This window comes from Homo sapiens, chromosome 11, assembly GCF_000001405.40.
Source record: "Homo sapiens chromosome 11, GRCh38.p14 Primary Assembly".
NCBI classification, from domain to species: Eukaryota; Metazoa; Chordata; class Mammalia; order Primates; family Hominidae; genus Homo; species Homo sapiens.
This window is the reverse complement of record NC_000011.10, coordinates 63,878,655-63,903,774: the sequence shown is the minus strand read 5'-3', so window position 1 is coordinate 63,903,774 and position 25,120 is coordinate 63,878,655. Positions and strand designations below refer to the sequence as shown.

The window sequence follows — 25,120 nt, the reverse complement described above, 5'->3', positions numbered from 1 at the left end:
AGTGCCTGGGAAGAGGAATCAGAAATGAAGGAGAGCAGACAAGGGGCCGCTGCCTCCAGGCTGCACTGGCCTCCTAAGAATTTTAAGAACAGGAGAGTTTCTTCTACAGAAAGAGTGGGGTGTTGCTGAGGGGAAACTTTCATAAACTCAGAAGAGATAGAGCCAGGAATGCAACACCAAGAAATGCGGCCGGTGAAGGCTGGGGAGCTCTGGTCTCATGGGGATGGCTGGAGTCGCCCTCTATGTGTACACCCCTCAAGGTGGGCATCTCTTGGTTCTGCCCTGAGCTGGGACCCCCAACACAAGGCCTTAGCTGCTCATGTCTAGAGGAGGGCAGCTGCCATGCCCTGGCCGTGGTCAAGAAGCGAGCATGTAGCTGAGATGGCCACGGTCAGCCCCACACTTGGCAAACTGCAAGTAGCAGTCAGAGGAAGATGGGGAGGAGGCAATGGCGTGGAATAGGGGAGGGGAAAGCTGGACTGGACACAGCCAGGATGGAACTCCAGGGAGCAGGGAGCAATGCGCTGGCAGGGACAGGAGACGGTGCTGCTGACAGACATCACCCTGTGAGACATGGCTCCTAGGGAGTGAGGCAGGCAGGGCCCGGGTCTCTCACCTGTCTTTGCCATTCTGGATGGAGGCCTGGCCGAGGCTGGCCCGCTCCAAAAGTGGGGAATTCCTGCTTCGATTTGTGCTGGTGGAGAGGACGCTGTTCTGTGGGGAATAAAGGGCAAGCGTTCTATCAGAAAGCCAAAGTGGTCTACAGCCAGGTTCTCCCCCCAGGTTCATGGAACAGGCTTCCTGTCCCTTCCACCTGAAGCAGACAGTGGTAGGTTAAGGAAAGGATTCTGCATTTACTGCTGGGAGCGAGGCTTCCTGCTATAAGCAGAAGTAGTAGCCAAAGGGAACAGAGTCTGAATTAAGAGAAGAGCTGCCTGGAGAGGGCAGGCCCCACCGCAGGAAGGAAGGAGAGAGCGGGGGGTGCGGCTCACCGTGGAGGGGGTTGGGGTGGTCTTCTTCCTCTCCAGACCGGGCAGGGGGCTGGCAGGCACCTTGGCTGTGCTGCTGGCTTTCCGCCCTGACTCCCGGTCCTCCTCAGGCCGCTTATTTTCTGCGTTGTTACTCTGAGTCTTCTTAGAGTAAGAATTAGAGGTGGGAATGGCAGGACCAGCTGCTGGGCCAGAGGGAGGATGGGAATGGGTAAGGCCAAGGGGTCCACTGAGTGCCAGCCCCACGCATGCTCATTTCCTACAGGGCTGGCCAACAACCCAGCAAGCCCCCATTCCACAGAGGCGAGGGAAGGGAAGTGGCTTGCCCATAGCCACACTACTAATAAGTGGCTGAACCAGGACTGAAACTTAGTTGTGTTACCCAAGTCCCCACAGAACCTGTAACCTCTCTGGAGAGGGGTGAGTCCCCACCTACAACTCCCAAAAGCATTTACCCTGGTCGCTGAAGCGCCGCTGCTTGGGATTGGCCGACACGCTGCGCTGTACCTTGTGGGATGGGGATGGGGCGCTGCTATTGGTCAGATCAGCTGAAGGCCGGGGTTTCAGGGTGATGGTGTCGCCTTCCAGCTGAAAGAAACAGAAAACAGCTTCAAGGGAGGGCAGAAGTCATGTGGAGATCCCTATGGATGGACACATTTACACATACCGCCCTCTCCCAACACTCAAACACCCCAGGATCATACCGGACATCCACTTGTAAGACCAATACATCCCCCCTGGAGGAGACCCTGGAGACACACATGCTCTGACACAGACACTGACAAACACAGTCTCAGAAAGGAATACATAAGCCCACACACCCAGAGACACAAACATCCGCAAGAACACATGTCCAGACTCAAGTCCACTCCCCTCAACACAGAGCAATATGGGCCTATACCAAGTGTCACCAGGTGCCTCTTAAGGATCCCACCACCAGAGGGAGAGCAGGGCAGGGAGGCTGGGAGTTCATGTGGGGATACTCAGATGATGAACAAAACCCAAATGGGCAGAAGAACAATCACAAAGTCTCCAGATCCACAGACGGGAAGACGGACACATACACACACACACACACACACACACACACACAGATACACACACCCAAACATAAAGCACTAGACAGAAGCAACAGACTCAATAGCCGGGTATGGTGGCACATGCCTGTAATCCCAGCTACTTGGGAGGCTGAGGCAGGAGAATCGCTTGAACCCGGGAGGCGGAGGTTGCAGTGAGCCAAGATCCTGCCATTGCACTCCAGCCTGGGCAACAAGAGCGAAATTCCGTCTCAAAAAAAAAAAAAAAAAAAAAAGCAACAGACTCAAACTTCCGATCAGACACACACAGAGACACACACACACACCCAGAAATGTACACTTCCAGATACAAAAAGAGACACAAAGATATCTAGATCAATGTAGTAGTGCTAGCCGATGACCTAGACACATCTAATCAATGCAGACTAACCTAGATCAACTCACCCGTATTGAAACTCTGACCCAGTCCCACACCGACCCTACCAGCTTTCTATTAATTCACTCATGGAGATCAGTGAATGGGCCAGAGGACCTTAGACACCAAAGCTGAGGCTTAAAATTGGTGAGCAGAGAGCACACCTACTCAGAGATGAGCTTCTGCCCTCAACAGGTGTTAGAAGCATAGGTGCTACAGACAGTGAGGCTGGCCAGGTCAGAGAATGGGGCGGGGAGCACACACCTCGGAGCTCTTGTAGCCCAGGAGCAGATAGGTGGCCATCACCTCGTTGTATCTCTGGCCCACCAGCGAGTCCTGGATCTCTTCCCGTGTATAACCCATGGACACCATCAGCTCTGCACAGGGGGACATACAGTTAAGACTGGCCTCAACTCCTAGGCAAGCTTAACCTCACAGCCCGGCACAGCCTCACCTGTCCGCCGGGGGTCCTTGTAGTCAGGGAGTGGCTCCACGTAAGGCTTTAGTTCATCATCTTCGTGACCCACATTCATCCATCGATCTTTCATGATTTGCTGGGGAGCACAGAGAAGGAAAAGGGCAGGGGGAAGAAACTCAGCTGGAAAGTTTCTGTGGGGACCCCAGGCCCTTCCGCCAGTTGGGCTCCACTGCTCACCTCTAAAGTGCCTCTCTTGCTGGGATTAAGAATGAGAAATTTCTTAAGCAGGTTTTCACAGTCCGTGGACATGTAGAATGGAATACGGTATTTTCCCCTCAGTACCCGTTCCCGCAGCTCCTGCAGGAGGATCCAGGGTTAGAAAATTGAAATCACCCCAAGGCCAAAGGAAGAAACCTAATATCCAAGATCCTGAGAGCTTAAGCCTGGCAAAGCAGACATAAATGAAATATGGAAGAAGGCAGACAGCCTGGGGACAAGACACCTCACCAGAGAGGCAAGTGAAGTCAAATACCCTCGTACCCTCTAACTTGACCAGTCCGAGGCCTGCAATCCGGAGTGCCTTGGGGGATGAACACACACACAGTTTATCCCATCTTTCGAGAAAGGAACTGAGGTTATTCATTCCCAGGTGCAGAAGGCCTTTGACTGCTGCTACCTCAGCAAGCCCTTCTCTGAAGCTTTGGCTTGGGACAAATGTAGACAGGTGGCAAAGGCAGGAGGTCAGGGCTAAGACCAGAGGCCGAGAGGAAATGAGAAGCAATAAAAAGCTTGCACTTCACTCCACCTTGAGGTTCTGTCCATCAAAAGGCAGGGATCCGCTGACCAGTGTATAGAGGATAACTCCTAGGCTCCACACATCCACCTCGGGTCCATCATATTTTTTGCCCTGGAAGAGTTCTGGGGCAGCATAAGGGGGACTGCCACAGAAGGTGTCCAGCTTGTTCCCAAAGGTGAATTCATTGCTGAAGCCAAAGTCTGCAATCTTGATGTTCATATCAGCATCCAAGAGCAGGTTTTCTGCCTGGGAGGTAAGATGGAAAACATCAGGGAACCAAGTGGACCAGACTAAGGCCCTGGGCAGGAAGGAGCTGAGGGGAATGGGAGAACAAACGGAAAGTCATCTTCAGTCTCAGAACTTTCTCCACCAATTTCAGGGCAGGGCTTCAATCAGCGTGAATAGGCTGGGCAGGAGGAAGGCAATGCAGGCCACTCCTCACGTGGGCAGCCATGGGAGAGATGGGATCTGAAGGCCCAGAGACCCTGTGAGCTGTGCAAAGCTTCAGCATCAGGCCCAGGTTAATCAAATCATGTCTGTGAGGACTCAGCAGCCAAGAGACCCACAGGTGTCCTCAAACTTGAGTATCTTGGTGATGGAGATGGTATGTGTGTGCCTGCCTGCAAAGCAGCTGGGATACAGCTGTGGAACTTTCAGCACTCTTCCCTGGGTCAGCTACCAGGTTGCCTGAAAGACTGAGAAAGCCTGGAGTGTGCCTGCCTTGCTTGGCAGCACTAAAAGGTGATGTGCCAAGAGGTGAAATGGCAGAGGGCCCCTGCTCAAGGGCTAGAATGGAACCCGAGGTCCAGCCACAAGGCCTCTATCAGAGGCAGCCCTAGGGGCTTTCTGGTCATCTCAAAAAAAAAAAAAGAAAGAAAGAAAGAAAAAAAGAAAGGCTGGAGTTTCCTGGAACACTCAGGGCCTGATGGTTATTGATGGTTTTATCATGGAGAACCAAGAGGCAACAACCTGGCTCCCACTCAAAGGCACAAGGAGAAGTGCATGCCTTACCTTTAAGTCTCTATGGACAATAAACTTCTGGTGACAGTACTGCACAGCAGACACTATCTGAAAGGAAGGAAGAAGGGTTAACCCAGGGGTGCCTGAGGGTGGGCCACAGGGGCTGACAGAGCAGTGACCCTGTGACTTAGTGCTAACCTGCCACACGGATAAGCAGAGCCCAAAGTACCCTCCAAGGGCCACTTACAGACAGGCAGCTTATCCTTACATGTCAAACCCCAAAAGCAGAGGTCAGGCCTAGCTCCTATGGAGGGAGTCACACCTACCTGGCGGAATTTGGCTCGAGCCTCTTTTTCTTTCATCCTGCCATGAGCCACTAGGTAATCAAATACCTCTCCTGTAAGAGACCAGGCAGGGATCTCAGTCAGAGCTGGCTGGAGGTGGAAGAAGTGGGGGCACAACAGGAAGAGGCAGTTCCACACCTACCGCCACTAGCGTACTCCATGACAAGGTAGAGCGTTTTCTCAGTCTCAATCACTTCAAATAATTTAACTACAAGAGAAAAGGCCAAGCCTTAAGTCAAGAAGCAACAGGGGCCACATACTGCTCTCCAACATGTCCAGGAGCATCCTAGGAACGAAAGTCTCCCCTCCTTTCATGATCCCCCACTCCCAAGAACAAGTTCCTCTCATGCCAGCCAAACTGCTAAAGACAGCCCAGTGTGCCAGAAGGGGAGATGGATTTTGAGCTGAGCTTCCCCAGGGGTATCCTTGAAGACTGCAGACTCCAGAAGGCAGTGCACCTCGGGGAGAAGATGACATGCTGGAAAGCAGTGCCTTGCTGTTGGGGAAGAAGAAAGAAATAACAACTTGTGCTCACCTATGTTGGGATGATTCAAAACCTTCATTATTCTTACTTCGCGGAATAGCTGGAAGATAAAATACCAGGGGTCATGCCTGCCCAACTTGCTCCCATCAGGTCTCTCCAAACAGTCCCTGCCAGGATTTGTTTTTCCCAAAAAACCAAAACCGGGCAGGGAAAAGAAAATAGGGTGGTTGTCTAGCTCATGCACGGCCTTCCCTGTGGCTGGGAAGTTGGGGAAGCTGGAGGAGGGCTGGCTGTGGGGACGTGCTACCCGGGATGGCATCAGGATGAGCCAGCCATGCCCTCTGCTGCGTCTACCAAATCCAGCCCCAAAACAGCAGGCAGGTTTTGGCTGGGTGCCTCTACTGGAGGGAGTGTGAGCCCGTGTGCGTGAATATTCAGAATCCGAGCTGCTGCCTTGGTTCAGTGACAGTACACACCCCAGCTTGGTCTGTGTAAAGGGGTGGTAGAGCACCAGAGGGGGACCCCATCATTTTCTGATTTACAGTAGTCAGAGGGCTCTGTTCTAGGGGATAGGCCTTTCCTTCCTGGGCCTCTAGGGTGGTGACAGAAGAAGCCACTCCTATATATAGCTGATGCCAATTTTAATCAAATCCACCTCCACACACTCACGCTCTCTTTGTGAAACAAAACCAGGGGCTCCAAACCATGTATTTCCATAAAGAAAGATGACAGAAATGAACTCCTTCCCCTCTGCGGGGGCCAGAGAACTGGAGGTGGGGCTTTTTGTAATTTCAGGCCTCATCACTTGCACAAAGAACAGAACTAGTTTTTGTTGTTGTTTTTGTTGGGGGTAGGGGAAGCCCTAATTCAAGATATGGTTTATGGAATAAAGTGAATACATTTGTTTCCCCTTTAATGATGCCCCAGAGCTTTCCTAAGCTAGAAAGGAAAAGAAGAAAAAGGCTTTCCAATCCTCAGGAACCCAATGCTGACCTTACCCTTTATTAGGGCCTAGGTTTTTCTTACTTTTTTCCCTGGTCCAACAGATATTTTGGATGGAGAGGCAAAAAGCCTGGATACCACCCTCTGGGGCAGTAATGGGGAGCAGCTCTGAAATAGGGCCAGAGGCAGCTGCCAGGGCTTCTTCCCCTGAGGCTGCTCACCTGGCATGGAAGTGACATTCTTCTGGGAGAACTTGGGGTTTTCTGGGCTTGTCTAGACCCCTGAGGGGGCTAGCTTCTTCAATGTTCATTTTTCAGGGATCATTGCTGAGATCACATTTTTGGCCAGAATCAGACTGGCTTTAGTAACAAAGAGTCTCAAAAGGTTTTGAAAATGGCTCTATTTGTCTGGTGTTGGTGCCTTCCAGAGAGTCAGGAAGAATTAGGGAGAAAACCAAGAAGAATTAGGGAGAAAAACAAGGTCAGGAATAAGATGGCTTGGTGGACTGGCGATTATTACGATGGCAGGCTAGACTGCTCCCAAGGCCAAATGGCCTACCCCACGCTGACTTCTTCTGTGGGGCTGGAGCCAGGATGTCATAAGCAGCCCTTTTTCCCTTCCTCCTGGAAAGCTTCAAGCAGAGACACCCTGATGATGACAACAATGTTTCTACTGAACTGAAGAACCCTTGAAGGGATCCCAGGGGTAACAATAAATAGGAAACACCTTGGTTCTGGCTATTTGCATGTCCGGAGAACAACTCATCCACTCTAATTCCATGAGCATCGCCCTCAACAACAATCCTCAGCCCTTACTCCTAAGGTTCCCAGTATCACTATCTGACTCTGTTAGCACGAATCATGCCTTCTCCTAACTCAACTGCCACAATATGCTTATGGAGAAAATATCTGATTTGCCACAAGATGAACAGAACTAGGTTTTGTTCAGAAAATTTGAGCTGGAGCTCATTCTCTAAAAGGTAGCTGGCACAGAACCCACCGGCAGGTTCCCTGCTTCCTCTTATTCTTGTATTTCTAAAGCCACTCCCCTGTATCATTCCAGATCTTGAAGTAGCTGCACGTGTTTCTAGTAGTGGCTACAAACATGTGTTTTTGCATAGGGCTGGCCACAAGCCAGAAGATAACAAGATGCAGGAAGTAGGTCAGACAGGTAGGCCAAGTGGCTGGGAATGAACAGAAAGACTTCACAAGAGCCAGTGCCTATGGCCAGGAAGCCCACTCAGGAGGAGTCACCACAGATGATCCAACCAAAGCCCCGAAGGTAGCAGAGCCATGGGAGGGAATGGTTGGGGGACGGTGAGCGAAATGGCCAGAAAATTTAAACTAGGAATTCAAGAGAAGGTCTAAATGGGGTCAGTAGATCATTGACCCCAGAAGAGAGATTTAGAAAGGGACAGGTGGGCTGGGGGCAGTGGTTCACGCCTATAATCCTAGCACTTTGGGAGGCCGAGGCGAGCGGATCACTTGAGGTCAGGAGTTCGAGACCAGCCTGGCTACCATGGTGAAACCCCATCTCTACTAAAAATACAAAACTTAGCCAGGTGTGGTGGCGGGTGCCTATAATCCCAGCTACTCGGGAGGCTGAGGCGGGAGAATCGCTTGAAACCAAAAGGCGGAGGTTGCAGTGAGCCGAGATCACACCATTGCACTCCAGCCTGGGCGACAAGAGTGAGGCTCTGACTCAAAAAAAAAAAAAAAAAAAAAAAAAAAAGGGACAGGAGGTGCCATGTGCTTACTTTCTGGAGGCTGGAGGAGTTCAGTTGAGTCTTGTCAATGATCTTCACAGCTACCTGAGGATGAGACAAAAAGGCCCCAAATCACTTCTCTGACCAGCGAAACCCAGGATTCCAATCTACTTCCTCCTTTATATTTCTTACTCCTTTTCATCCCACAGCTTTTTGCACCCCTATATCTCAGATCTCATTTCTGCCGGATAAACAAGAGGTTGGCTGCAGTAGTAGTCCCATCACCACCTGCTGGAGTGTCAACAGGGCTGGGAGGTGCTGCCATGTCCCCAGTCCCAGTGCTCACCTCTTTCCCAGTCAGGATGTGTCGGGCCAACTTCACCTTGGCAAAATTACCCTTGCCAATGGTCTTGAGGAGCCGGTAGTTTCCAATGTGGGGCTGCTCATCAGCAGAGGTGGCTGAGTTGCGGCCCCGAATCATGTTGGACTTACTGCTGGGCTTGGAGTCAAGGTGTCCCAAGGTGGGCTGCGGGGTGGAAACAGAGATACCATTACATGCCACACTTCCAGTCCTCTAAACGCTCTCTGCAAAATATATAAGGGATGAGGGTGCAGGGGCAGATTCCAGGGGGCTGGTAGGCATGTGAAGAATGATATGGCAGCAGAAGAAAGGAGAGGGGGCTGAGGTGACAGCCAGTCTTCACTCCAGAGAAGCACATCATAAGGTCCAGTGCCCAGGTCCTGTGGGTGGCAAAGCTCAGGAGCAGAGCTGTCCCATCACTGGCTCCCTGAACCTCCATTGGCAACACAACAGCTCGTCTGGTTCAGGAGGGAGAGCCGGTACCCTGCCTCCCTCCATGCTGCCTGTGCACACTGCGAGAAGACTGCATCTCAAAGTCATGGTAGCTACATGGTCATAACTGCTTCAACGCCCTCATCGCCACCCAAAACTTACATGAACCTTTATTTTTTATTTATTTATTTTTTTGAGACAGAGCTTTACTCTTGTTGCCCAGGCTGGAGTGCAATGGTGCGATCTCAGCTCACCGCAACCTCCACCTCCCGGGTTCAAGCAATTCTCCCACCTCAGCCTCCCGAGTAGCTGGGATTACAGTCATGCGCCACCACGCCTGGCTAATTTTGTATTTTCAATAGAGATAGGGTTTCTCCATGTTGGTCAGGCTGGTCTCAAACTCCTGATCTCAGGTGATCCGCCCGCCTTGGCCTCCCAAAGTGCTGGAATTACAGGCGTGAGCCACTGCGCCCAGCCATAATAACTTTGTTGGGTAGAAACGTAGTAGCCCTTCCTGCATGGAAGGACTGCATGGCCGAAGTCGAACCCGAGTCTCCCGCGTAGGAGACGAAATTTCTGCCGCTGAACTACGAATGCCCCACTGAACCTTTGTTATTTATCACTTTACATTTATTTGCCATCTCCCCCAGTAAAAATGGAAGCACATGAAAGCAGGCATATATTCTTTATTCACTGATACATCCCAGCACTTAGAGAGACTGGCTTATGTTTGCTGCTCAATGAATACTTGTACAATGAAAGAACTGAACGATTAGGTCTGAGCAAGGCAGCAGTCTGCCCTGCTCTGCCACCCGGCTCAAATGAGGGGATGAGGAAGCAGAAGCTACAACTACCAGCACTGAAGAGGCATATAAACATAATACGGGTTGAATATCCTTTATCCAAAATGCTTAGGACCAGAAACGTGGCAGATTTTAAATTGTTTTGGATTTTGGAATATTTGCATATACATAATCAGATATCTCAGGGATGGGACCCAAGTCTAAACATTTATTTTTCATGTGTACATTATATACATGGCCTGAAGGTAATTTCATGACATTTTAAAATAATTTTGTGCATGAAATAAAGTGATTGAATTTTGCTTATAACCTGTCATATGGGGTTACGTGTAGAATTTTCCACTTGTGGCATCATGCTGGCACTCAAAAAGTTTAGATTTTGGAGCATTTTGGCTTTTGGATTACGGATGTTCAACCTGTACAAAAAGGGTATGGTCTAGACAAAAAACATACATCTATGTGAAGACGTGTACATTCCTCAAAGTGCTAAACACAGACTATATGAGCCAGCAATTCCGCTCCTCAGTATATACAAAAGAGAAATGAAAACAGAAATCCACAAAAAACCTGTAACCAAGGTTCACAGCACCATAATCCATAATAGTCAAAAAGTGGAAACAATTCAAATGCCCATCAGCTGGATGAACGGATAGACAAACGTAGCATATCCTTACCGGGGAATATTGGTTGGCAGTAAAAAAGAATATATGCTACAACACAGAAGAAACTTGGATAAACTTATGGTATCTCACTAAAACTGTTCAGAGTCTAGGCCAGGCAAGGTAGCTCATGCCTAAATCCCAGCACTTTAGGAGGCTGAGGCAGGAGGATCACTTGAGGCCAGGAGCTTGAGACGAGCCTGGGCAACATAGGGAGACTCTGTCTCTACAAAAAATTAAGAAATTAAGAAATCTTGGGAGGTTGAGGCAGGTGGATTGCTTGAGGTCAGGAGTTCGAGACCAGCCTGGCCAACATAGTAAAACCTTGTCTCTACTAAAAATACAAAAAATTAGCTGGGCATGGTGGATTACAGGTGCCTGTAATCCCAGCTACTAGGGAGGCTGAGGCAGGAGAATTGCTTGAACCCAGGAGGAGGAGGTTACAGTGAGCTGAGATCGCACCACTGCACTCCAGCCTGGGCAACAAGAGTGAAACTCCGTCTCAAAAAAAAAAAAAAAAAAAAATTAAGAAATCAACTGGGTGTGGTGGCATGCACCTATAGTCCCAGCTGCTCTGGAGGATGAGGCGGGAGGATCGCTTGAACCCAGGAGGAGTTCGAGGCTGCAGTGAGCCATGATCATGCCATTGTACTCCAGCCTGGGTGATAGAGCGAGACCCTGTCTCAAAAAAAAAAAAAAAAAATGCAGAGTCTGGTCTAACTCCTGATTAGCGCCCTGGTTTACATCTCACAAAGAACATCTGGAGCGATCGCTCCAGCATACTGCAACAAAGCATATGAGGCCAGAGCCTCATCCCAGAACCATCCAGAGCTGCCTTGGAAACTTCAAGGAAACAGTCTGGAGGGCAGCAGGGTGACCAGAGGAGTGTGAGTGAAAGTTCTTCCTTTCATGGCCCCTGCTGGCTGTACGTGAAGCACTCAAAAACCACAGAGAAAAAAAGAATGACTTGCTACTACCCAAGGAACTGTCCAGCATTCCTAGACAAGAAGCTTGCTAGCTCAACCAGATGCTTTTCAGGCAGAAACGACAGCAGCAAGTTAAGTACAGTATCCTGATTCTGACATTTCCCCTTCTTCACTGTGCCCACGTAGGGCCTTTGCATGGTAGCTGCAGGCTGTCTTTTGGTGAGCTGTTTGACCAGATCCCAGAAACACATGGGGTTGGACCTTGGAGGAGGAAGATCCCATGCATTTGGTAGATGTTTGAAGGGGGAGGCTCCTCACATCCCAGAAGAGGCCCTTTTAACTTCCTTCTCTCTTCCTCATCAACCTTTGCATCTCCATGAAGCCCCCCAGCTCTTATTGTCTGCTCATTCCAGCCCACAGAGCTCTCTGGTGCTCTGTTCTCCACGCACCCTGTAGCTCACCTAAGCCTGGTTGGTCCTCAAACAGTGTCTGCAAGACAAGTGGATTTTTAAATACCTGCTTTTTTCCCTTCCAAAGGAACTCTAGGGTTCACACCCCTTGGAGAGAAGGGCATTTCTAGGCCCTGCTGGCACCTGATTGGGCCAGCCTCCTGAAGGGTACCCTAGCCCTGTCCAGCAGGGTACTGAAAGCCTGGTCTCCTCAGGCTACCTTTTTCTCAGCCCCATCCTCCCTTTCAGTGCTGCTAGACTGCCTCCAACCCTACCCATCTGCCTAACGGGCAATGAACAGGAAAAAACCTTCCTTCTGCCCCAACTCCTACGAGAGGAAGATGGGTGGGAAAGTTTCCTTGGCAACCTCTAGTTCACCTTCTAAGTTTGTTGTCACTCCCTGTTTCTCCGAGGATATAAGCCCAAGGCAGCAGGAAGTGTGACGGTCTCTAAGTTCTCAAAATCCAGACCAGGGATTTAGCATCTACCTGCAGACTTGGGCCTTTTGCCAACTGAGACCAAATCTGGGCATCCCATGCCCATCCTGAGCTCTGCTCTGCCCATCCCTCTTGGTGAACCGAGGGGCTGGTCTGTGTGGCACAGCAGGTCAGCATTCCCTGCCTGGCCCTGCTGCACAAGTGGGCCTCAAGGAGCTTAACAACCACAAGCAAGATTGTACCATTCATTCTCTTCCTTTCTGGTTAAGACTGTAGATGTCGGAGATAAGCTGCCAGGTTTCAAATCCTAAATCTGTCACCTACTCAGCACATATTAACTTTATTATTATCATCAACATCATCAAGCCAGGCACAGTGGCTCATGCCTTTACAGGCAGCACTTAGGGAGGCAGAGGCAGGAGGATAGCTTGAGCCCAAGAGTTCAAGACCTGCTGTTCACAAAAAGGAAAAAAAAAAAAGAATATATTTAAAAAGGCAATACAGTGAGACCCCCATTCACAAAAAGGAAAACACACACACACACACAAACAAACACAAAAAGCCCCAAAATAAAACAAGTGTAACATCAACATTGTCAAGAAGGAGGTGAGACTATTACAAATGGGGAAGAGAACTACCCAAAAAACGACCAGTGGCCAATACTGCCAGACATCTGTGCCAGGGAGGATCCCGAGGAACTCTGCAGTCCAACAGAATCAGGTTCAAGCCCTGGCTCCCCCACGTACAAGCTTTAATTTCCTTATCTGTAAAGTGGCAATAAACATTCCCTACTTTACACAGGTAGATGAAAGAGCACATGTAAAATGCCTTATCCGATGTTCAATAAGAGCAATCATTATGTCCCCAAATACTACTGTCTGCCAATCCAGAAGTCTCACTGTCAAAACAACCTTCCAAATCGAAGTTGAGCCCGCTAAGCCAGCTACAGCTCAGCTGAAGGCTGACAAGAGATGCTACGGGCCTTTCCGCAGAAGGGGCCAGGTTGAGTGCCCGCTCTCCTCCAGACCTGGTGAAATGCCACACTCCCTCAACCTGTTGCTAGCCGACACCAGCACCTCTAGCCTTCAAAAGAGGGAAGGAGGAGAGTCAGGAACTCAAGACAGGGTGGCTGTGAAGGGCTGGTCCCACGCTGGGTATCCAGGACAGGGAAAGAGAGGAGGTTCTGCTTGTTCAGGAGCCAGAGAAGCAACAAGCACTGGTGCTTGCTCTTTGATCCCCTGCTCCAAAGTCACCAACCCCCTTTTCGGGACTGAACCATCCAACTCAGAGGACTCCAAGTGCTCAATCCTTCCCTTACTTACCCCTGCACCCCTTCTTCTATGCTGTAAGATGTTTCCCACAGCAGGGATGTGAGCCAGGGTAAGGAGGCAAGCCACTGGAAGGAAGCAGAGAAAAGAAAAAGGGAAAAGAGAGGAGAGAGTCTCCAACAGAAATGCTTCTTGGGCCAAGGCCCCAAGTGAGGCAACTTCCTCACCTAGCTTCTTCCCTGAAGGATAAAGAGGTAAGAGTATGCAGTGGCTAATATGGAGAGAGAGTTTCTCTTTTTTGGTTCTGGCTGCACCATTCAGCTTGGCCCTGGGTCTCACCAACAGGATGGCAGGCTGAGGATTAGCTGCCCTGCTGGGCCAACTCAATAGGACCTGGCAAAAGCCACGCTCTCCCCTCTACCACCATCCTCCCTGCTTATAGTAAGACGTGGCACACCAGGCACTCCCAAAGCTCTGGCCTATATCATACTCTAGACAGGCCCTAAAGGATGGAGGAGGTCTGTCAAGAGTAGACCCTATGGCTCTCAAGTAGCCTTTAGAAAGAATAAGGGGTCACCCTGCAAGGCAGTTATTTGGAACCAAAAGGCAAACCAAGTAGTTACTAAGCAGGCCTGATTCAGAAGTAGGGCTGAAACAGCTTTGGGGTCTGCTACTGAGAGGAAGAGAGAAGGCAGGACATGGAGGAGAAAATAAAAAGATAGTTTTGCATCCACTGGGCCTGTCAGGCCCCTTCCGCCTGGGATCTCAGACTCGGCCTAGGTGTGTTGTCAGGCTTGCCCGGAAGACAGCCTCCACCCCGAGAGGCCTGGCGCTGACTCAGGTAGGCAGGGCCCCTGCCCTAATGCTGGAGGCTCCTACCAACAGTTGTCCCATGGAGAAGCTCATGCTTTGGGGCTCTGCATTCAGGGCTGGCTTCAAGTGTCCTTTGGCTTCCCGAGGGCTGAGAAGGAGCCAAACCAGGAGGGGTGATATTCCCTGGCCAGAAGCAGAGTAAGCCAGGCACTATAGAGTTGGGGGAGAAAAGTGTCCCTTGGGCACCAGTCCTGGGCAATGGCCCCAGATCCTAGGCTCCCCCTCACTGTAGCACGGGAGCATCCTCTCTGAGGCCTCAGGCCTCTGCCTCCCACCAGCCCCTCCTCGCCCACTTGTCAAGCTGCTTGTTCTCAGGGGAGACCCTTCTGGTATGTGCCCCCTCTTCCTTTCCTAGTCAATGCCTCTTCCACATCTGGACACCCTTCCCATGAATATTACTATGCTGGACTCAGGCAGGGCGCCCCTTAGCAACTCTCTAAAGATCCTATGTTTGAGATGAGAGGAAAGAAAGAGGAGGAGGCAATCCTAGAGTAAAAAGGGGGACAACATACCCGACTGGAGAAAGGGAAAAGGACTACCAGCGACTTCCATTCAGCAGAGCCCACAGCAGAACCTGTCAGGCAGCGAGGGCAAAGTACAGAGGCCGGGAAGAGCCAGGCCTAGGGCGGGGGCTGCCGGCTCAGCCAGCCACCCTTACTCAGCCAGAGCAGGCGACACCTTCCACCACCTCCTCAGTGAAAAGTAGCTAAGCAGCCAGGCCGAGCGGTTCCTGCCTGGGAACCTGGACGGTGTCGCAACCGAAACCACCACTAGCAGAGAGACTGGGTTTGGCAAGGAGAGCAACAGGGACAAAGCCCCGCTGGCTTCTCAAGGGCCAGAGCCTGGTGGTCAGGAAGCGCGTGCAATTCCAGGACAGCACACCAGAAGCAAGGTGGGAGGGAAGGGGCAGGAGGGGAATAGGGCAGGAAGGGAGACAGAGAAAGAGGCGGGTTTAGATCAACTTCCTTCTCCCCTCCCCCTCCCCCCCTCCCCGGAAGTGGGCAGCCCCACCCTCCCCAAGGTGCTTTGCTGGGTAACAGCTGGCGAGAGGTCGAGGAGACTCACTGCAGCCACGGCTGTCATAAAACCCTAGCTCACCTGTGGCAGGTGGGACCTGGGTAGGGGCAGATGACTTTAACAAAGCCTCCAATAGGGCTGGGGAGGAACATGTGTGACTCAGATGTGCTGACCCAGAGTGGCGGCCCTGCCAAAGACCAGCAAACCACCCCCTCAAGAACGAAGTGGGGAGGAGGGTAAGCAGAAACCAGCAAGCTGACAGTGGCGGACGGACCTCCTACTTCCTAAAAAAGCAGTGCTTAACCTTGGAAACATGCACATTCCACTTAGACACAAAATATTTTGAGCATAATTTCAGGGAGTTTGGGGACTCTGTAAAGCCCCCTATGAGGTGTATGTTTTCTAGATTAAGAGCCTTTATCACTGATAGAGCATTCTATCAATGAAAAAATCATATTTAATCCTAGATTTTGCCCAAAAGCTAGAAACAATCCAAATGTCCCTTTTAAGTTCCTTCCAGCCCTGCTTCTGAACGTTCATCCCTAGGTTCTCACTCACCTCCAAGTTTCCAGTCACCAATCCCCTGCCTTACCTTCAAAACAACACTGCTTTCTCAAGGAATTCCAAAGGCCTGGGATTCCTCACACCTTCCTCCTGCTAAGCCCCCACTATCTGGGCACATGGTGAGCACAGGGCAAGCTGGCTGTCTCTCATCTGGAGAAGACTCCCCTTCTAGACCAACGACCCCTGTCTATGTGCTGGTTGCAGCCTTGCCTCTGGTTCTCAGAACAATTTCTCATTCATCCCCTATTCTAGGCTAGGCTCCCTCTCATTAAGGAACTCCGTGACCTTCTCACGTTGGTAGCCATTAACCCTCTAGGGAAGGGCAAAGCTTCCTCTGTGCTCTCACAGCACTTAAGCATATATTCCTGCAAGACCATGCTACTCAGGAGTGGCCAAGAAATGTTTGCCTTACACATGAGCCCTGGCCAACGGATTCAGCATTTCTGATGCTACTGTATGTCCAGCGCTTACACTTTGTTTTCTCCAAACACAGACCTATAGGGTAGGTAGTCTCCCTGTTTTCCATTGAGAAATTGGCATTCAGAGGTTATGAGACTTGCCCAAAATCTCACAGCTTCTCAGTACAGAGCTGGGGCCGGAGCCCAGAGCTTTTGTCACCATTTCAGCACTCTGCTGTTCTTGACAGTCCCCCTTACCAGTTTCTCATCAACCCTTCTTGATGCCTAATCGTGCTCTCATTTCCCCCAAAAGATAAGCCCCTGGCTCCTCCTCCATAAGCTAGGAGGCAGAAGGTATGAAGACTCAGGGAAGGTGCTCGGGACACTGGGAATGACAATGTTTGATTCAGGCCAATGGTGAAGTGCTGTTTAAAGGCCTATCCCAGTGGTCCCACAGCAACCCTTCCTTTTCCCAGCCCCCCAAAAGTGGGCCCTGACTTCAGTGGGCCCACTGGATCCTGGGCTCAAGCTTGCCCGGGCCCTCCGGCCCTTCACTCACTGGTAGACTGAGAACCAGAGCAGGATCAAACAGCTTCATTTTTCTAGTCCCTTCATTTTTCTAGGGCTTTGCAATGTGACAGAAGGACTGTTTCCTCAATCCTATTTGTGGGAGACAGTAAGGGATTTTGTAAACTGAGGAAATACAAAGCACTGACTACAAACAGAAAAGCTGGGAAGAGATAGGGTAGGATTTAGATTAAAAGCCACATGGGGGCCAAGCATGGTGGCCCCCACCATGTAATCCCAGCACTTTGAGAGGCCGAGGCTGGTGGATCACTTGAGGTCAGGAGTTCGAGACCAGCCTAAGCAACATGGCGAAACCCCATCTCCACTAAAAATACAAAAATTTGCTGAGCGTGGTGGCGTACACCTGTAATCCCAGCTACTCGGAGGCTGAGGCATGAGAACTGCTTGAGCCTGGGAGGTGGAGGTTGCAGTGAGCAGAGATTGCACCACTGCACTCCAGCCTGGGCAACAGAGTGAGACTCTGTCTCAAAAAAAAAAAGCCACACGGGGCTGAGCACTGTTGCTCATGCCTTAATCCCAGCACTTTGGGAGGCCAAGGTGGGAAGACGACTTGCGCCTGGGAATTCGAGACAAGCCTGGGCAACAGAGTGAGACCCTCTCTCTCCAAATTCAAAAATTAGCCAGGCATGGTGCCATGGGTCTGTAGTCTCAGCTACTCGGGAGGCTAAGGCAGGATAATCGTTTCAGTCCAGGAGGTGGAGGTAACAGTGAGCTATGATCGTGCCACTGCACTCCAGCTTGGGTGACAGAATTAGACTCTCGTCTCTTTTTTTTTTTTTTTGAGATAGAGTCTCACTCTGTTGCCCAGGTTGGAGTGCAGTGGCGCAATCTCGGCTCACCGCAACCTCTGCTTCCCGGGTTCAAGTAACTCTCCTGCCTCAGCCTCCCGAGTAGCTGGGATTACAGGCGCCCGCCACCACACTCAGCTAATTTTTTTATATTTTTAGTAGAGACGAGGTTTCACCATGTTGGCCAGGATGGTCTCGATCTCCTGGCCTTGTGATCTGCTCACCTTGGCCTCCCAAAGTGCTGGGATTACAGGTCTGAGCCACTGCACCCGGCCTCTTTTTTTTTTTGAGATGGAGTCTTGCTCTGTCACCCAGGCTGGAGTGCAGTGGTGCGATCTCGGCTCACTGCAACCTCCGCTTCCTGTGTTCCAGTGATTCTCCTGCCTGAGCCTCCCAAATAGCTGGGATTACAGGTGCGTGCCACCACGTCCAGATCATTTTTGTATTTTTAGTAAGATGGGGTTTCACCACCTTGGCCAGGCTAGTCTTGAACACCTGGCCTCAAGTAATCCACCCGCCCCAGCCTCCCAAAGTGCTGGGATTACAGACATGGGCCACTACGCCCAGCCTCTCTTTTTTTTTCAAGACAAGGTATGACTCTATCACCCAGGCTAGAGTGCAGCAGCACGATCTTGGCTCACTACAACCTCTGCCTCCTGGGCTCAATCCATCCTCCCACCTCAGCCTCCCGAATAGCTGCAACTATAGGCCCACAGCAATACGCCCGGCTAATTTTTGTATTTTTTGTAGAGATAGGGTTTTGCAAGCTTGTCCAGGCTGGTACTGAACTCAACAATTCAAGTGAACTGCCCACCTTGGCCTCCCAAAGTGCTGGGATTATAGACATGAGCTACCATTCCCAGCACAAGACTTTGTCTCTTAAGAAAGGTCATGTGCCTGTGGCAAGTCCCTATTTATTTATTTATTTTTAAACAGGGTCTTGCTCTGTTGCCCGGGCTGGAGTGCAGTGGTACGATCTTGGCTCACTGCAATCTTCGCCTCCTGGGCTCAAGTGATCTTCCTCTTGAATACCTGGGGCTACAGGCATGGGCCACCAAGCCCGGCTAATTTTTGTATTTTTTGTACAGACAGGATTTCTCCATGTTGCCCAGGCTGGTCTCGAACTCCCTGGGCTCAAGCAATCCTCTCACCTCGGCCTCCTAAAGTGCTGGGATCACAGGAGTGAGCCACTGCGCATGGCCATATGGGACATCTTGTAACTGGGAGTTGGAGTCCTTTGTTTTTTAACCCTTCCTCCCTCACTGTATCCAGAAACTGTCTTTTCATCCTTTGATTCTGAGCAACTATCGCTATCAACTGCCATGAGCAACTATCGCTATCAACTGCCAAGAGTCAATAAACCAGAGGAGCATTCAGTGTAGGAGAGCTTGTAAAACTGGCAGGCACTCACCAGTGGAAAGCCTGGATGCTCCCACCCCCAAAATTAACTGTGACTGTTCCACTTGAGAAACAGCCATATTCCTTTACTGTCCCATTGTAGATGGGAGGCAGGGGCTGCTCCCTCTTTCCAGCCAGGGTAAGAGCCTCCTTCACAAAGGATAACCAGAAGAGCCTGCAACTTAAGCACAAAGCCAAAACCAAGGTGGTTTACTGCCCTTTAGCTCTCTGAGCTGCAATCCTCACCACAAGGCAGGGAGATCAGCACTGCAGCCTGGGCCATGAGGCGGGGCTCCCCCAGGACTCAAGCCTGCCTGGGAAAAACCTGACATGGCATAAGAGGTGAGAACAGAGAGCAACCTCCAGCTCACTCTCCTTCAGGCCTGGAAGCCACAATGCAAAGAGCACTCTCCAAATCTCCTCTGTCTTCAGAGCCACTTGAAATGCTGGGCTCCTCTTGAAACTAGATTCTACTGAGCAACCAGGGCTTTAGAGGCTTCCAGGACTACTTTCATCCCTGAGAATCTGCTTGCTGGGGTCTGGTCGCTAAATCCCCAGCTACTGTTGCCCTAGCAAACCTTTGTTGAGCAGTACTCTGGAGCCCTGGCTCCAGTTGCAAAGCTCAGTGCGATCTGGCTCCTGCCTTCCAGAAACTTAAAAGAGGTAAACTATACAGAAAACTTACTATAGTCGCTCTGCCCACCTCTGTTGCTTACCAGCTGACTGAACATGAGCAAAGTGACATAACTTCTCCAAATCTGTTTCCTCATTTGGGACATAAAGATACTAGCTGTACCCATTTCACAGAATTAGAGTGAAGATTAAATGAGAAAATCTGGCCGGGCGTGGTGGCTTACACCTCTGATTCCAGCACTTTGGGAGGCCAAGACAGGCAGATCCCTTGAGCCTAGGAACTCGAGGCCAGCCTGGGCAACATGGCAAAACACAGGCTCTACAAAAAAACACAAAAATTAGCCGGGGTGTGGTGACAAGTGCCTGCAATCCCAGCTACTTGGGAGGCTGAGGTGGAAGGATCACCTGAGCCCAGGGAGGTAGGCTGAGGCTGCAGTGAGCCGTGATCACACTGCTGCACTCCAGCCTGGGTGACAGAGTAAGACCCTGTCTCAAAGGAAAAAAAAAAGGAAAATCCATGTCAGTGTTTACCATAGAACGTGGTGTTCAGTAATGTCTTGATGATGTATTCTATTATTATCTAGCTTCATTTTTGGGTAGGAACCATTGTTTCCCCTCTCCAAGGGTTCTCTGGGCTCTGGGAAGAGCTACAATACCTAGAAATTTGACTGTAAGTACCAGTATAGCTAAGTTGATTCCTGTCATCCTGGTATTCCCTCTATAACAAGGAAAAGTCAAATTCTGCCATGGCTGGGCAATCAGGCAAAGAGGACCCTCTTTCCTAACATAAAACCATCCTGCAGGAGGAGTAGCTGAATGACATGGTGCCCATGCCTTCGCCCTCTGTGTGGCCCAGAGGATGACGACAGTGGTCCTGCCAGGGTTCTTCCCTTCTTCATCAGTTCCTTAACTCCCTCCTCCCAGAAAAGGTCCATGAAACAGCCGACATACCAGTACCACATGGTGCCAAGGGCTGAGGGAAGCTCACACTGCCAGCCTCGCACTTTATGCGGTTCCTCCCATACCAGTGGGTTACCGTAACCATGGAGACCAACAAGTTCCTCCATATCACAGGAGAGCCAGCCTGCCAGTAGCCCAGGGCTCTGGGGGATGGGGGTGGTGGGGGTAGGCAGAAGGAAGCCTGCAGCATAGAGGTCTGGCTCACTTTACAGAGGACTGTGGGGAGGCAGCAGATCCTAACCAGTGCAGCTGAGGTGGCTGGGCTTCCTCCTAACCTCGTTTTCTTTGCCTAGTATATATGTTCTTGGCATATTTTCTGGGCTCTCTAGACACTGGGCTTTTCTTCCTAGCTCCACTGCTGTATACTGGGGCACCATATATGGTATAGTAGTGAAGGGTGTCATTCTGGAGTTAGACTGTAGTGATAACCCAGCTCCACTACTCTGTACATGCACATATACAAAAAAATGGAACAATAAAGAGAAGATTAGCATGGCCCCTGTGCAAGGATGACACACAAATTTGTGAAGCATTCCTTTTTTTTTTGAGACAGAGTTTCGCTCCTGTTGCCCAGGCTGGAATGCAATGGCGTGATCTCGGCTCACTGCAACCTCCGCCTCCCGGGTTTCAAGTGATTCTCCTGCCTCAGCCTCCCAAGTAACTGGGATTACAGGTATGCGCCACCATGCCCGGCTAATTTTGTATTTTTAGTAGAGACAGGGTTTCTCCACGTTGGTCAGGCTAGTCTCGAACTCCTGATCTCAGGTGATCCGCCCAGCTCGGCCTCCCAAAGTGCTGGGATTACAGGTGTGAGCCACTAAGCCTGGCCCATATTTTTTAAAAGATTAAAACTTTTATTATTTCAGGCTGGGCATGGTGGCTCAGAGCAAGACTGTCTCAAAAAAAAAATTATTATTTTGAATAAATAAATAAAAATAATAAGAAAAAAGAATGGGTCAGAATTGTGGTACAAAGAGCTACCCAGATCTACACATACTAAAAGGAAAGTGGTCATCTATCCTATGCGCCTTCCTGTGATCCAGGTAAGTCCTCTTATCCGTTGTTTATCTCAAATCCAGACACCGTCTTAGCGGGGAGTGGTCACTCACTTCTCTAGACTCACTTCTCTAGACTCTCAGCGCTCTATCTGTACTCTTCATTTCTTCTTCTTTTGTGAGATGAAGTCTTGCTCTCTTGCCCAGGCTGGACTGCAATGGCACAATCACAGCTCACTGCATCCTCAAACTCCTGGGTTCAAGGGATTCTCCTGCTTCAGCCTCTCGAATAGTTGGGACTACAGGTGTGTGCCACTATGCCTGGCTAGTTTTTTATTTATTTCATTTTTTTTGTAGAGATGGCATCTTGCCATCTTGCCCAGGCTGGCCTCAAACTCCTAGGCTCAAGCAATCTTCCTGCCTCAGCCTCCCAAAGTGCTGGGATTACAGGCGTGAGCCACCACACCCAGCCCCATTGATTTCTTGTTTGTGTCCCCATACCTTAACCCCCTCATGCTCTGACAGATGAGAGCCAGTATCTCCCTCACCTTCATATACCCTCAGTGCCCAACAGTGCCCACACCTAGCTGACCCATGTTACAATACTTAGGGAACAAGAGAGGCACAACTTTTTGATCTTTAAAGTTGCCCACTCTCGACCCCACTCTCGACCCCAAGAGATAAGGGTAGAGGAAGGAAGATCACAATTTCTTGCTACCAGCCCCATTTCCCCTCTTTCGAGGCATTCGTTGCCCTTGAAGTTGGTTGGTTACTATCTGTCCTTCCTGCTAGACTACACTACAAAAGGAGGGACCTTGGTATTTTTTTTTGAGACAGAGTTTCTCTCTGGCCATCCAGGCTGGAGTGCAGTGGCGTGATCTCGGCTGACTGCAACCTCTGCCTCCCGAGTTCAAGCGATTCTCCTGCCTCAGCCTCCCAAGTAGCTGGGATTACAGGTGCCCACCACCATGCCTGGCTAATTTGTTTTTTTTTTTTAGTAGACGGGATTTCACCATGTTGGCCAGGCTGGTCTCGAACTCCTGACCTCAGGTGATCTGCCTGCCTTGGCCTCCCAAAGTGCTGGGATTACAGGCGTGAGCCACTGCACCAGGCCAGGTCTGTCTTATTCATGGCCCAGAACAATGCCCAGCACAGTATTCAGTAAAGTACTGAATTAATAAATGTGCACAAATGAATACATAAGAAAACATTTTGCGATGTCTTCATGACGGTCTCTGGGACCAACTGATAACTGATAGCCCACTTCAGTGTACTCTGCAAAAAATACCCATGAGGGTAATGAGCCACGAGATCCCCTATCCCAGTGATGGATGAAAAGTGAGTGATCACCAAGGTGAGCTGGAGACAGACTCAGAATATAGGCACAGCCAGGGACCAGCAGGGCCCATCCCACTTGCTCCCCTGAATCAAGCCCTAGCCTTCCTTTCATCGGAGGGAAAACCCTCTCCTTCACACTTCCTGCTGCCCATGACAACCACCAGGTCCTCAGACTTAATACAGTTCTCTCTGCCTCTCTACATTTAGTTTCTCTACTGCTTTGCTATCAAAACCATTGTGTCTTGCTGTGACAATGAATGCAACTCGAGCCATTCTAAGAGCTACCAATTGGGGACGGACAGTGACTTGTATAAGAATCTAGGAGACAATTATTTATTGTTTGCCACACTAAGAGTTCTGCTTTGATATTTGTTACTTGAACCAATGTACTGACTCTAAGGCCCGGTTAACTCTAGGGTGTCAAAATAATTTCACCCATACACACCTGCCTCCTGTCCTGCTGCAAAAATCAGCATTCCCACCCTGCCCCCAACCCCTCCCCAAACTGCCTCCTGTTACAGAAAAGCAAAAGAACTAAAAACGGCAGCTGGGGAGCTCAGTTGACTCACCCAGCATAATCATCTCCTCCCAGAATCTCCCATCTTCTCCTGGGGTTTTTGCCAACACAAAGTAAAAAAGAAGCATGAGATCTTAAAAAAAAAAACAAAAAAAAAACTCAGCATTTATGCAACAGTCTTTCTACCTGGGTACAGATTTAACCCTTTGTTTCTGCCCTTTCCAATGTTGTTTCCTTAAAACTTGCTTGTATGCTGAGGATAAGATCCAGCCTGGAGCTGGGAAACAGGCCTTCTAGACCCCCTAGTCCCAGCATTGCTGCTGGAAAGTGCAGAACAAGACATATGCCTCTTCCTGCTGCATCTTTCTCTGGAAGTGAACAAATACTGCCTCCCTACTCCTCCAGTTTCAAAGAGGGAGTTGAATAAGGAGGAGGAAATGTCAGAAAAAAATACTGGGACAAAGTTTGTTGCTCCAGAAGTCACCATGGCCAGAGGTCAGAGCACATCAGAAACCACCCCAAGGCTGTCACTGCCACCCTCACCTCAGAACTGTCTCCCTGTTGGGCCAGGCTGCAAAGTGGCTACTCCACTTAAGTGACCACTAAAAATCCAACTGGCCAATCTTTCTAGAAGCAAGCCCTTACTGGGCTGCTCCTGCTGAAGGGAGAGGTGCTATCTTTCTCCTGTAGCAGATCATTAAAAAACCAAGCAGGAGAGGGCACCTAAGTTGTGGAATGAGGGCATCCTGTTTCAGGTGCTACTGGACTATGGATCAAATCAGCTGACATGGAGAACCCAGACAAACCTGCCCCTCAAGGCAATCACAGAAGACAAGGGTAGCTCTCTAGCAACCTTTCTGGGTGGGAAGAGGAGGGTGCTTCTTTTCTGTCATTTGGCATATAGGAGGACAACTTACTTGTGTGATAGATAGTGCCATGACCACAAAATGTGATTTTTTAAATGTTTTTTTTTTGAGACAGAGTCTCACTCTATCGCCCAGGCTGGAGTGCAGTGGTGTCATCTCAGCTCACTGCAACCTCTACCTCCTGGGTTCAAGTGATTCTCCTGCCTCAGCCTCCAGAGTAGCTGGGAGTACAGGCGCTCACCACCAGGCCCAGATTATTTTTTTGTATTTTTAGTAGAGATGGGGTTTTACCATGTTGGCCAGGCTGGTCTCAAACTCCTGTCCTCAAGTGATCTGCCTGCCTCGGCCTCCCAAAGTGCTGGGATTACAGGCGTGAGTCACCGTGCCCAGCTGAATACAAAATAAAGAGACACTTCCACAGGCAAATGCAAATCTGTTGCAGCATATTAGTCAAGAAATCCCCAAGTTACCAAAAGTTCTGTTCTAAGAAGGAACTCTTTTTCCATAGAAACATGTTACAAATGGTAGCTGTGTTCTCAGGCCAGCCCATGAGGTCCCAGCATAGTATTTCAAGGGGTACGTGAATTGTACTTAAGACTTAAACCATAGCCCAGAACAGGAAATGAATTCAGAGTTCCAACTCAGGACCCGGGAACAGATCTTTGCTCTCCAAGCACCATGGGCAGCAGACACGGGGGCTCCCTAGTCTTCAAGCTCTGGGTGAGGGCTTGAATCAAGAAGACTTGAGCCAGGTGCGGTG

At 50.1% G+C, this 25,120-nt stretch overlaps 1 protein-coding gene and 2 pseudogenes across 5 annotated transcripts in view, besides 2 other annotated features; 1 reads left to right on the top strand and 2 right to left on the bottom strand.

The window, feature by feature from the left end:
* Positions 1-25,120, bottom strand: part of MARK2 (microtubule affinity regulating kinase 2) — a 71,911-nt gene that overhangs the window by 7,246 nt on the left and 39,545 nt on the right. For 2 of the 5 annotated variants that reach the window (NM_001039469.3, NM_001163296.2), the window contains exons 2-14: positions 8,437-8,616; positions 8,142-8,195; positions 5,495-5,543; positions 5,102-5,167; positions 4,942-5,012; positions 4,667-4,723; positions 3,665-3,901; positions 3,097-3,216; positions 2,896-2,995; positions 2,706-2,818; positions 1,445-1,577; positions 993-1,174; positions 617-714 (exon numbers count right to left, since the gene is read on the bottom strand). In NM_001039469.3, coding sequence (NP_001034558.2) covers positions 617-714; positions 993-1,174; positions 1,445-1,577; positions 2,706-2,818; positions 2,896-2,995; positions 3,097-3,216; positions 3,665-3,901; positions 4,667-4,723; positions 4,942-5,012; positions 5,102-5,167; positions 5,495-5,543; positions 8,142-8,195; positions 8,437-8,616 — 1,460 coding nt within the window. Of the gene's footprint in view, positions 1-616; positions 715-992; positions 1,175-1,444; positions 1,578-2,705; positions 2,819-2,895; positions 2,996-3,096; positions 3,217-3,664; positions 3,902-4,666; positions 4,724-4,941; positions 5,013-5,101; positions 5,168-5,494; positions 5,544-8,141; positions 8,196-8,436; positions 8,617-14,810; positions 15,239-25,120 lie in introns of those variants that run through there. The other 3 variants (NM_004954.5, NM_001163297.2, NM_017490.4) reach the window with 2 other exon arrangements.
* Positions 149-961: an enhancer, noted in NCBI's record as "H3K4me1 hESC enhancer chr11:63670286-63671098 (GRCh37/hg19 assembly coordinates)". NCBI's record gives its function as "activates a minimal SCP1, AML or CMV promoter by ChIP-STARR-seq in primed H9 embryonic stem cells {active_cell/tissue: H9 hESC(primed)}" and the evidence as "EXISTENCE:reporter gene assay evidence [ECO:0000049][PMID:30033119]".
* TRR-CCT9-1 (tRNA-Arg (anticodon CCT) 9-1) lies at positions 9,412-9,480 on the bottom strand (annotated as a pseudogene).
* Positions 15,149-15,258: an enhancer, noted in NCBI's record as "active region_4878". NCBI's record gives its function as "activates an Ori minimal core promoter by ATAC-STARR-seq in GM12878 lymphoblastoid cells {active_cell/tissue: GM12878}" and the evidence as "EXISTENCE:reporter gene assay evidence [ECO:0000049][PMID:35858748]".
* On the top strand, positions 21,090-21,188 carry RNU6-1306P (RNA, U6 small nuclear 1306, pseudogene; annotated as a pseudogene).